Below are 12,862 nucleotides of genomic sequence, written 5' to 3'. Positions count from 1 at the left end.
AAATGTTTACAAGATGAAGCTTTCTAAGAAAATGAAAAATGGATATTCAGAAAATAACACTGATAACATTTACTCTTTTCAGTCTTTCTAGTACCTTCACTTTCTCTTTGTGGCTTATCTTTGTTCAGCTGATGATCCCTTGAAGGTATATCTGAAATTGGTAAAGTGCATGACTTTATCAGTTCACACTGTTTGACAATCTAGACTTCTAGTCAGTCTGAAGTGACTTTACGTTCTTGTTTGCATAGTGCCGAAATATGCCTTTTTTTTAAAAAAAAATCTGTATTTTATTTTCTCTCTATTTCTAATTTTTCAAGTAGCGATGGATCATTTGTATTTGATGGCTATTTACTATTATTTACCTTTATGTTCTATCTGGTATATTTACACTGATACTAGTAAGGCACTTTTAATGCACTTTGAAATGCAGAATTTATGCTAAGGAGACTACTATCGTCCAAATGTTTGTGTTCGCCCCCTCAAATGCATATCTTGAAATCCTCACCTCCAGAGTGATAGTATTAGGAGGTAGAACCTTTGGGAGCTGATTAGGTCGTGAGTAGGGAGCCCTCATAAATGGGATTAGCGCCCTTATTAAAAAAAAAGAGACTCCGAGGGAGGTTGTTTGCCCCTTCTACCACATGAGGATACAGCGAGATGGCACAATCTATGAGGAAGCAAGCCCTTGCCAGACACTGAGTCTGTAGATATCTTGATCTTGGACCTCTCAACTGTAAGAAATAAATTCCTGGTGTTTATGAACTACCCAGTTTATAATATTGTATTATAGCAGGCCAAAAAGACTAAGACAGGAACTAAGATAGCTTTCTTTGTCTAAAGTGAGCCATCAAATAAACGTGAGACAGGAGAAAATATTGTGAAGTTTGAAGAAGAAAATTTAAAAATAGGAGTCAGTGGGAATTTGGCCCAAACCTACCCAGATTCAAATTCCAACTAACTCTTACAGGAATGCTTGCACCCTGAAGAAAAGAGAAAATCAGTGAGCTACGTGGTTTTTCTTCACCATACAATTTCACCTTGTTAGGTATCTCTCCAATGGAACAATTTTATTAGTTATCTAATACTTAATAACATATCTTTTGCAAAGATTACTACCTTAATCCAACCATACTAACTTGATATGTCTCACAGTGTCCCTGGGTCAGGAATTTTAAAGAGATTTGACTGGGAAGTTTTGACTCAGGGTACCTCCTGAGGGTGTAGTCAGATGTTGGCATGGGCTACAGACACCTGAAAATTTGATTAAAGTTGAAGTGTTCATTTTCAGGTCATGCTGCTGCAAAGCTGGCAAATTAGTGCTAGATGTTACCAAGAGGCTTCAGTTCCTTTTCATGAAAGCCTCTCAATGTGGCTGCTTAAATGTCCTCACGACAGGATGGGCTTCCCCCATAGTAAGCAGTCCTAAAGACCAAAGCAGAAATTACAATGCCTTTTATTAACTGGAAATCACACTTGACAATATTTATTGGTCACAGAGATCAATCCTACTTCTATGTGGGAGGAGATTAGACAAGTTTATGAACACAAGAGAGCAATAATCACTGGAGTTCATCTTGTGGGCTGACTTTTACCATGATCATACTTAAAACAGAATTAGTGAGAGAGAAAGCAGAGAGAGATTTTTCCAGCTGTGATAGCCCTCATTATTAACTACACTAACAGTTTTCTTTCTGTTGTCTGTACTGATCATCAGGTTCTACAGCATGCAGCCCTGGAGTACCTTAGGTAATGTTCAAGTACACATTCAGACAGACATGAAGGAAGTAGAATACACTGAAAGTACCTTCTTTTTCTTTGCTTCTTCTTTTTTAAAATATATCAATCTTGCTAAAGTTGACCTGTTCTCACTTAAATACTAAAAAGGAAGAAAACAAATGACAGAATAGAATAATAATCGTACCACATTTGCTTTTCCCGTTTTTCTTCTTTCTCTTCAACTATCATTTTCTGCCTTCTCCAATCTCCTCAAGTCTCTAAGCATTCTCCTGTTTCCTGACTAAGCTTCTATGTTTGTTAAACTAAGAAACTAAGTTTATCAGTTTGTTACCAAACTCACTTTTATAAGATTAAACTCACTTGTCTACATCTGTGGCATATTTCTCTCCTATTTTGTTATTAGGAAAGAGAAATGTGTTTTAGCTACTATCATGTGTGCATATTTCTTATGCACTCGAATGCCTTCCCTGTTACTCAACAAAATGACCCCAGCAACTATTTCCGTTCTTTCCTCAATATTCAAGGTTTTTTCTTTCTTTCTTTCTTTTTTTTTAAACTGGCTCATGGCAATCAGCCTATAAACATGCTGTTAAATTTACCATTGTATTTGCTTTTTTCCCATATTCATCTTCAAATGTTTCCATTTATCTTTTCCCTTTTAAGAAACCTCTTGAGGAGACCTAGCAAGATAGCCCAGTAGGAATGGCTCCAGTCTGTAGCTCCCAACGAGATAAATGCAGAAGGTGGGTGATTTTTGCATTTCTAACTGAGATATCTGGTTCATCTCACTGGGACTGGTTAGACAGTGGGTGCAGCCCACAGAGGTCAAGCCGAAGCAGGGTGGCCGTTGCCTCACCCAGGAAGTGCAAAGGGTCAGGGAACTCCTTCCTCTAGCCAAGGGAAGCCTTGAGGGACTGTGCTGTGAGGAACTGTGCACCCTGGCCCAGATATACACGTTTCCCATGGTCTTTGCAACCCACAGACCAGGAGATTCCCTCGGGTGCCTACACCACCAGGGGCTTGTGTTTCAAGCACAAAACTGGGTGGCCATTTGGGCAGACACAAAGCTAGCTGCAGGAATTGTTTTCCATACCCCAGTGGCACCTGGAATGCCAGTGAGACAGAACCGTTCACTCCCCTGAAGCCAGGGAGCCAAGTGGCCTAGCTCAGCAGATCCCAACCCACGGAGCCCAGCAAGCTAAGATCCACTTGCTTGAAATTCTTGCTGCCAGCTTAGCAGTCTGAAGTCAACCTGGGACACTTGAGCTTGGTCGGGGGAGGGGCGTCCGCCATTACTGAGGTTGAGTAGCTAGGTTTTCCCCTTACTGTGTAAACAAAGCCCTGGGGAAGTTCCAACTGGGCGGAGCCCTCCACAGCTCAGCAAAGCCACTGTAGTCAGACCACCTTTCTAGATTCCTCCTCTCTGGGCAGGGCATCTCTGAAAGAAAGGCAGCAGCCACAGCCAGGGGCTTATTGATAAATTACCATCTCCCTGGGACAGAGCACCTGGGGGAAGGGGCAGCTGTGGGCACAGTTTCAGCAGACTTGAACGTCCCTACCTGCTGATTCTGTGCAGCGGATCTCCCAGCACAGCGTTTGAGCTCTGCTAAGGGTCAGACTGCCTCCTTAAGTGGGTCCCTGACCCCCGTGTCTCCTGACTGGGAGACACCTCCCAGCATGGGCCAACAGACACGTCATACAGGAGAGCTCTGACTAGCATCTGGTGGGTGCCCCTCTGGGATGAAGCTTCCACAGTGAGGAACAGGCAGAAATCTTTGCCGTTCTGCAGCCTCTGCTGGTGATACCCAGGCAAACAGGGTCTGGAGTGGACCTCCAGCAAACTCCAGCAGAGTTGCAGCAGAGGGACCTGACTATTAGAAGGAGAACAAACAGAAAGGAATAGCACCAAATCAACAAAAAGACGTCCACTCAGAAACCCCATCCGAAGGTCACCAACATGAAAGACCAAAGGTAGATAAATCCGTGAAGATGGGGAGAAACAGGCGCAAAAAGGCTGAAAATTCCAAAAACCAGAACACCTCTTCTCCTCCAAAGGATCACAACTCCTCACCAGCAAGGGAACAAAAGTGGATGGAGAATGAGTTTGATGAATTGACGGAAGTAGGCTTCAGAAGGTGGTTAATAACAAACTCCTCCGAGCTAAAGGAGCATGTTCTAACCCAATGCAAAGAAGCTAAGAACCTTGAAAAAAGGTTAGAGGAATTGCTATCTAGAATAAACAGTTTAGAGAAGAGCATAAATGACCTGATGCAGCTGGAAAACACAGCAAGAGAACTTCGTGAAGCATACACAAGAATCAATAGCTGAGTCAATCAAATGGAAGAAAGGATATCAGAAATTGAAGATCAACTTAATGAAATAAAGCATGAAGACAAGATTAGAGAAAAAAGAATAAAAAGGAACAAACAAAGCCTCCAAGAAATATGGGACTATGTGAAAAGACCAAACCTACGTTTGACTGGTGTATCTGAAAGTGACGGGGAGAATGGAACCAAGTTGGAAAACACTCTTCAGGATATTATTCAGGAGAATTTCCCCCAACCTAGCAAGAGAGGCCAACATTCAAATTCAGGAAATACAGAGGACACCACAAAGATACTTCTCGAGAAGAGGAGCCCCAAGACACATAATCATCAGATTCACCGAAGTTGAAATGAAGGAAAAAATGTTAAGGGCAGCCAGAGAGAAAGGTCAGATTACCCACAAAGGGAAGCCCATCAGACTAACAGTGGGTCTCTCTGCAGAAACCCTACAAGCCAGAAGAGAGTGAAGGCCAATATTCAACATTCTTAAAGAAAAGAATTTTTGAATCAGAATTTCATATCCAGCCAAACTAAGCTAACTAAATAAAATCCTTTACAGAAAACCAAATGCTGAGAGATTTTGTTACCACTAGGACTGCCTTATAAGAGCTCCTGAAGGAAGCTTTACACATGGAAGGGAACAACTGGTACCAGCCACTGCAAAAACATAGCAAATTGTAAAGACCATTGACACTATGAAGAAACTGCATCAACTAATGGACAAAATAACCAGCTAGCATCATAATGACAGGATCAAATTTACACATAACAATATGAACCTTAAATGTAAACTGGCTAAATGCCCCAGTTAAAAGACACAGACTGGCAAATTAGATAAAGAGTCAAGACCGATCAGTGTGCTGTATTCAGGAGACCCATCTCATATGCAAAGACACACATAGGCTCAAAATAAAGGGATGGAGAAATATTTATCAAGCAAAAACAAGAACAACAAAAACAAAACAAAACAAAAAAACAGGGGTTGCAACCCTAGTCTCTGATAAAACAGACTTTAAACCAGCAAAGATCAAAAGAGACAAAGACAGGCATTACATAATGGTAAAAGGGTCAATGCAACAAGAAGAGCTAACTATTCTAAATATATGTGCACCCAATATAGGAGCACCTAGATTCATAAAGCAAGTTCTTAGAGACCTACAAAGAGACTTAGACTCCCACACAATAATAGTGGAAGAATTTAACAACCAACTGTTAATATTAGACAGATCAAAGAGACAGAAGATTAACAGGGATATTCAGGACTTGAACTCAGCTCTAGACCAAGTGGCCTAATAGACATCTACAGAACTCTCCACCCCAAATCAACAGAATATACATTCTTCTCAGCAGCACATCGCACTTATTCTAAAATTAACCACATAATTGGAAGTAAAACACTCCTCAGCACATGCAAAAGAATGGAAATCATAACAAACAGTGTCTCAGACCACAGTGCAATCAAATTAGAACTCAGGATTAAGAAACTCACTCAAAACTGCACAACTACATGGAAACTGAACAATGTGCTCCTGAATGGCTACTGGGTAAATAATGAAATTAATGCAGAAATAAATAAGCTCTTTGAAACCAATGAGAACAAAGACACAACATACCAGAATCTCTGGGACACAGCTAAAGTAGGGTTTAGAGGGAAATTTATAGCACTAAATGACCACAGGAGAAAGCAGGAAAGATCTAAAATTGACACTCTAACATCACCATTAAAAGAACTAGAGAAGCAAGAGCAAACAAATTCAAAAGCTAGCAGAAGACAAGAAATAACTAAGGTCAGAGCAGAACTGAAGGAGATAGAGACACAAAAAACTCTTCAAAAAATCAATGAATCCAGGAGCTGGTTTTTTGAAAAGATCAACAAAATAGATAGACCACTAGCCAGACTAATATAGAAGAAAAGAGAGAAGAATCAAATAGATGCAATAAAAAATGATAAAGGGGATATCAACACTGATCCCACAGAAATACAAACTACCATCAGAGAATGCTATAAACACCTCTATGCAAATGAACTAGAAAATCTACAAGAAATGGATAAATTCCTGGACACATACACCCTCCCAAGTCTAAACCAGAAAGAAGTCAAATCCCTGAATAGACCAATAACAAGTTCTGAAATTGAGGCAATCATTAATAGCCTACCAACCAAAAAAAGTTCAGGACCAGATGGATTCACAGCCAAATTCTACCAGAGGTAAAGGAGGAGCTGGTACCATTCTTTCTGAAACTATTCCAAATAATAGGAAAAGACAGACTCCTCCTTACCTCATTTTGTGAGGCCAGCATCATCCTGATATCAAAACCTGGCAAAGACACGACAAAAAAAGAGAATTTCAGGCCAATATCCCTGATGAACAGCGATGCAAAAATCCTCAGTAAAATACTGGCAAACCAAATCCAGCAGCACCTGAAAAAGCTTATCCACCATGATCAAGTCGGCTTCATTTCTGGGATGCAAGCCTGGTTCAACATACGCAAATCAATAAACGTAATCCATCACATAAACAGAACCAATGAGAAAAACTACATCATTATCTCAATAGATGCAGAAAAGGGCTGCAATAAAATTCAACACCCCTTCATGCTGAAAACTAGTTATTGATGGAACATATCTCAAAATAATAAGAGCTATTTATGACAAACCCACAGCCAATATCATAATGAATGGGCAAAAACTGGAAGCATTTCCTTTGAAAACCAGCACAAGACAAGGATGCCTTCTCTCACCACTCCTATTCAACATAGTATTGGATGTTCTGGCCAGGAAAATCAGGCAAGAGAAAGAAAGAAAGGATATTCAAACAGGAAGACAGGAAGTCAAATTTTCTCTGTTTGCAGATGACATGATTATATATTTAGAAAACCCCATCATCTCAGCCCAAAATCTTCTTAACTGATAAGCAACTTCAGCAGTCTCAGGATACAATATCAATGTGCAAAAATCACAAGCATTCCTATATGCTGATAATAGACAAACAGAGAGCCAAATCATGTGTGAACTCCCATTCACAATTCCCACAAAGAGAATAAAATACCTAGGAATACAACTTACAAGGGATGTGAAGGACCTCTTCAAGAAGAACTACAAATCACTGCTCAAGGAAATAAGAGAGGACACAAACAAATGGAAAAACATTCCATGCTCATGGATAGAAAGAATGCATATCGTGAAAATGGCCATACTGCCCAAAGTAATTTATAGATTCAATGCAATCCCCATCAAGCTACCATTGACTTCCATCATAGAATTAGAAAAAAACTACCTTAAATTTCATATGGAACAAAAAAAGAGCCTGCATAGCCAAGACAGTCCTAAGCAAAAGGCACAAAGCTTGACGCATCATGCTACCTGACTTCAAACTGTACTACAAGGTTACAGTAACCAGAACAGCATGGTACTGCTACCAAACAGATATATATAGACCAGTGGAACAGAACAGAGGCCTCAGAAATAACACCACACATCTACGACTATCTGATCTTTGACAAACCTGACCAAAACAAGCAATCGGGAAAGGATTCCCTATTTCATAAATGGTGTTGGGAAAACTGGCTAGCCATATGCAGAAAACTGAAACTGGAACCCTTCCTTACACCTTATACAAGAATTAACTCAAGATGAATTAAAGACTTCAACGTTAAGACCTAAAACCATAAAAATCCTCGAAGAAAACCTAGGCAATACCATTCAGGCCATAGGCATGGGCAAAGACTTTATGACTAAAACACCAAAAGCAATGGCAACAAAAGCCAAAATTGACAAATGGGATCTAAATAAACTAAAGAGCTTCTGCACAGCAAAAGAAACTATCATCAGAGTGAACAGACAACCTACACAGTGGGAGAAAATTTTTGCAATCTGTCTATCTGACAAAGGGCTAATATCCAGGATCTACAAAGAACATAAGCATATTTACAGGAAAAACAGGTTGGGCATGGTGGCTCACACCTGTAATCCCAGCACTTTGGGAGGCTGAGGCGGGCAGATCACGAGGTCAGGAGATCGAGACCATCCTGGCTAACATGGTGAAACCCCATCTCTACTAAAAATACAAAAAAAAATTAGCCGGGAGTGGTGGCGGGCACCTGTAGTCCCAGCTACTCAGAAGGCTGAGGCAGGAGAATGGTGTGAACCTGGGAGGCAGAACTTGCAGTGAGCTGAGATTGCACCACTGCACTCCAGCCTGGGCAACAGAGCAAGACTCTGTCTCAAAAAAAAAAAAAAAAAATTACAGGAAAAACAACCCCAGCAAAAAGTGGGTGAAGGATCTGAACAGACACTTCTCAAAAGAAGACATTTATGCAGTCAACAAACATATGAAAAAAAGCTCATCATCACTGGTCATTAGAGAAATGCAAATCAAAACCATAATGAGATACCATCTCATGTCAGTTAGAATGGCGATCATTCAAAAGTCAGGAAACAACAGATGCTGGAGAGGGTGTGGAGAAATAGGAACACTTTTACACTGTTGGTGGGAATGTAAATTAGTTCAACCACTGTGGAAGACAGTGTGGCAATTCCTCAAGGATCTAGAACCAGAAACACCATTTGACCAAGTAATCCCATTACTGAGTATGTACCTGAAGGTTTATAAATCATTCTACTATAAAGACACATGCACACATATGTTTATTGCGGCACTGTTCACAATAGCAAAGACTTGGAACCAACCCAAATGCCCATCAGTGATAAACTGGATAAAGAAAATGTGACACATATACACCATGGAATACTATGCAGCCATAAAAAGGTTGAGTTCATGTCCTTTGCAGGGACATGGATGAAGCTGGAGACCATCATTCTCAGCTAACCGACACAAGAACAGAAAACTAAACACCGCATGTTCTCACTCATAAGTGGGAGTTGAACAGTATGAACACATGGATACAGGGAGGAAAACATCTTACACTAGGGCCTGGCAGGGGTTGGGCGGCTAGGGGAGGGATGGCGTTAGGGGAAATACCTAATGTAGATGATGGATTGATGTGTGCAGCAAACCAGCATGCCACATGTGTCCCTATGTACCAAACCCGCACTTTCTGCACGTATACCCTATAACTTAAAGTATAATAATAATAATAAAACCTCTTGAAAAGAGTTATGTGTATCTGCAGTCTCCAATTCTTCCCTCCCTTTCTCTCTTGACTGACTTCATTTGAGTTTTTATTCTTATTGCTCTACTGAAACAGCCCTTGTAAAGGCCAGTGGTAAGTGTTATATACTACGTCCAAAGGTCAGTGCTAAGCTCTTGTTACATGGTATTAGTAGCATTGACACAATCAATCACATTCTCCTCCTCAAAATATTTCCCCTATTAGGCTTCCTGGTCTACTATGCACTCTTCCATTTTCTACGTGTAACACTAACTGTAGACAATGAATGTGGAACGGGTTTTTCTAGAGTGTCAAACAACAATCATCAGATCAACAAAATATTTTTATAACTTTTTTAGTGATTGTTTAGTAGTCGACTGTGTAAACATACTGTAATTTATTTAACCAATACCCCACTGTTTAGCAATTAACTTGATTCTGTCGATAAATGTCTAGCCAGGTTGGGCGATGAGAGATGGAAATGTAAAGAAAGACTGAGACATGACATTTTGTAGCAAGTATCTTTAAATGGTGGCATTTTTACATATGTTTATTTTTATGTACCAAGCTGTTTTGGGATTTGTGCATAAAACTATGAACAAGTTAGAAACTATCTCTAATATCACTGATTTTTGAATTCTAGTAAATGATTTTTATAATCTGCATTTCTTCAATTTCAAATTATCTTCAATGAATGTAATTACAAGTATACTAACAAAAAATGTAAAAATAATTTTAACAACTATTATGATGCAAAGTTTGTTTGAACTTTGGGGGAGATGATCTAATTTGGTGCTTTAGAGGGGTAAGTGGTAACTAAGTAGCCAAGAGTTAATTTGATAAATAAAAATCAATTCCTTTATGGTATACTTCAAGGAGATCATAAGTGGCATTCACCTAAGATCACAGTAAGGAATAACGAAGAGTAGCTAACTAGATTATGGTACTCAGGAGGGGTTCCCAACTGTATTAGTCTGTTTCCATGCTACTAATAAAGCCATACCCAAGACTGGGTAATTTACAAAGGAAAGAAGTTTAACGGACTCATAGTTCCACGTTGCTGGAGAGGCCTCACAATTATGGCAGAAGGCAAGGAGGAGCAAAGCCACGTCTTACGTGGCAGCAGGCAAGACAGCTTGTGTAGGAGAACTCCCCTTTATAAAACCATCAGATATTGTGAGACTTATTCACTATCATGAGAACAGCACAGGAAAGACCCACACCCATGATTCAATTACCTCCCACTGGGTCCCTCCCAAGACATGTGGGAATTATGGTAGCTACAATTCAAGATGAGATTTGGGTAGAGACGTAGCCAACCATATCACCAACCTTCTTCACTGGGAAGTGGAACTAAGTGAGCTGATATGCCCAAGTTATATAGCATTGTTCCCTCTAACATGTAGGTGATGGCTCACATCCGTTATGTGTTGTTTTATTCATAGACTTAGGATCCTGTTGATTTGTTTACATTATTTTGTTTTTATTGTCTTTTTTTCTGTTAGAAGAAAATATAGGAGGACATAGTAAATATTACATTAGCTGTAAAGAGAAAAATAGCTATTTCATCACTAACCCGTAAAGATTTTCCTATCTGCCTTCAACACTGGATGCATATATACTATGGGTAAATAAATTAACAGCATCTAATGGTGAAATAGGGTCTAGTATGTTGGATGGAATTGTCAAAAATCTCCCTGTCAGAACAGAAAAAGCAACACACTACCAAAGTCTTGCATGCACTTTGTTTTGGTTGTAGGTAAAATGTATGGAAATTCAAGTTTGAGGTCTCTCAGAAATTCTGATTGTTAAAAATTAGTATGCACACTTTAATGTTTGGCACACAGCATATTTACTTCTTAATTTTAATCCTTTCAATTTAATTTAGACAATTCCAGTAATGAAAAAATTGGGAATGATTAGAAAAAAATATAGGAATACTCTATAATATTTTTATATGGGGAATGTAAGTATAAAAATAGAACACTCAATCAATATAAAATACAAGAGCTTTACAGTGAGGGAGACTGATAAGATCTGCCTTAGCAAGAGTGGTAAGTGAGTGTTAGTTATTTACGGCCCTCAGTAAGGTTTTATTGTCAGTTCAAAGACAAGTAAGTACCTGTATTATATTACCAGACTAAAAAGCATAACAATCCTTATGAAAAATATCTTAAAACCTTACATGTAGAATGTCCACTATGTTTAGTCAGCCTCTCTGATATTCACATCAAGTATGTGCATTATAATCCACACTCTTGTTCTTCACCTTTCTTCTGATTCACAATTATTTCTGTTTGATTTGGAACAGGATTGGGATCATTAGTATTACAAAAATGTTCTTCCCTATTTACAGTCAATAAATTCACTGGAGAGTTTTGCCTGCACGGTGATTGTTTGATTAGGCACACCTGAAAAATCATAAAAGAAAGAAGCCCAAATAAGAGGGAATCTTTTTATTTTTTGCTGGACAATCAAGTGTAGACATGAAAAAGAATGACTAGGTTTACTCAGGCTATAGAAGTGAAGCTTTTATTTAAAAACATGACTCCATGATACTTATTGGCACTTGTGTTACCCACAGCAGAGACCAGAATCCTAATGTATTCAAGGTGAGCAGAAGAATCCTAATGTATTCAAGGTGAGCAAAAGCTGGTCTAAAAGAAAAAGATAATTATTTAATAATTTAAATAGCTAATTCTGGTAATAAATACTTATCCAAATTTTCTTACCCAATGAATAAAGAACAAACCAGGAAATTTGATCTTCCTATAGAAATATACATTGATAATTTTAATTGTAAAGATATAAAGAGTAAATCAGTTGGAATATTATTGAGATGGGGGAAGGATTAGTGTGTACATCCACAAATTTCAGTGATTAATTGTAGCCTAGAAAGAGAGAAACTAAGAAGAAATGTTTGGGCTTTTCACCCAAAAGTAGATAAAATAAGCTACTTAGCACATTTAAAATTAATTAATCAGTACTTAAATAAGTTATTAGATTCCCATTAGTGGTAGACATTTTCATAGACATATTAAGGGATAGTAGTTATAAAAAAAAGATATGGGCCCTGTCTCTATACGTTCAGTCTGCAATTGGTATAATCTGTGCTTTGATGTGCACTTTTGACAGTCAAAGCCACAGTCTTATAGGGGTATTTTAAAATATAAATGTCATACATATGCTAGTAATAGTAATTTATTACATTATTTATTGGGGACTAGTTAGTGGTACAGCATTATATTACAAGTAAATTAAGTGAGATTATGATGTTGAATATATATATATATGTAAAGTAAAATGTTTACATTATTACAAAATGTTGAAAATATATATATATATATATATATATATATATATATATATATATATGTATACACCTTCCACTATTACCAGAAGTGCTAATCCTACAGCAGTTTTCTAGCAGCCAATATAAATGTGGTGCTTGATGTTAGGTTAACATTTAGTGTTAATAAAGCATATAATAGCTGATGCTGATGTTATGCCCTCTAAGCATTGTAATGAAGTTATTATATGGGATAAATTAAAATACTTAAAGAGGGTTATTATAAAAGCTATTGAAATGTTTATATAAATGTGAATATCAGGTAATTATGGTGTAATCATAATCTAAGGTGTCAAAATTGTCTTATTAAGCTACCTAATTTTAGCCTTACCAGTTTGTT

General features: G+C 38.3%; 3 annotated features.

Annotated features, from left to right (window-relative positions):
• Nucleotides 2,372-2,925: an enhancer, noted in NCBI's record as "H3K27ac-H3K4me1 hESC enhancer chr9:31519313-31519866 (GRCh37/hg19 assembly coordinates)". NCBI's record gives its function as "activates a minimal SCP1, AML or CMV promoter by ChIP-STARR-seq in naive H9 embryonic stem cells {active_cell/tissue: H9 hESC(naive)}" and the evidence as "EXISTENCE:reporter gene assay evidence [ECO:0000049][PMID:30033119]".
• Nucleotides 2,691-2,750: an enhancer, noted in NCBI's record as "active region_28261". NCBI's record gives its function as "activates an Ori minimal core promoter by ATAC-STARR-seq in GM12878 lymphoblastoid cells {active_cell/tissue: GM12878}" and the evidence as "EXISTENCE:reporter gene assay evidence [ECO:0000049][PMID:35858748]".
• Nucleotides 2,891-3,160: an enhancer, noted in NCBI's record as "active region_28260". NCBI's record gives its function as "activates an Ori minimal core promoter by ATAC-STARR-seq in GM12878 lymphoblastoid cells {active_cell/tissue: GM12878}" and the evidence as "EXISTENCE:reporter gene assay evidence [ECO:0000049][PMID:35858748]".

This window comes from Homo sapiens, chromosome 9, assembly GCF_000001405.40.
Source record: "Homo sapiens chromosome 9, GRCh38.p14 Primary Assembly".
Taxonomy (NCBI): Eukaryota; Metazoa; Chordata; class Mammalia; order Primates; family Hominidae; genus Homo; species Homo sapiens.
This window is presented reverse-complemented; position numbering and strand designations above follow the sequence as displayed.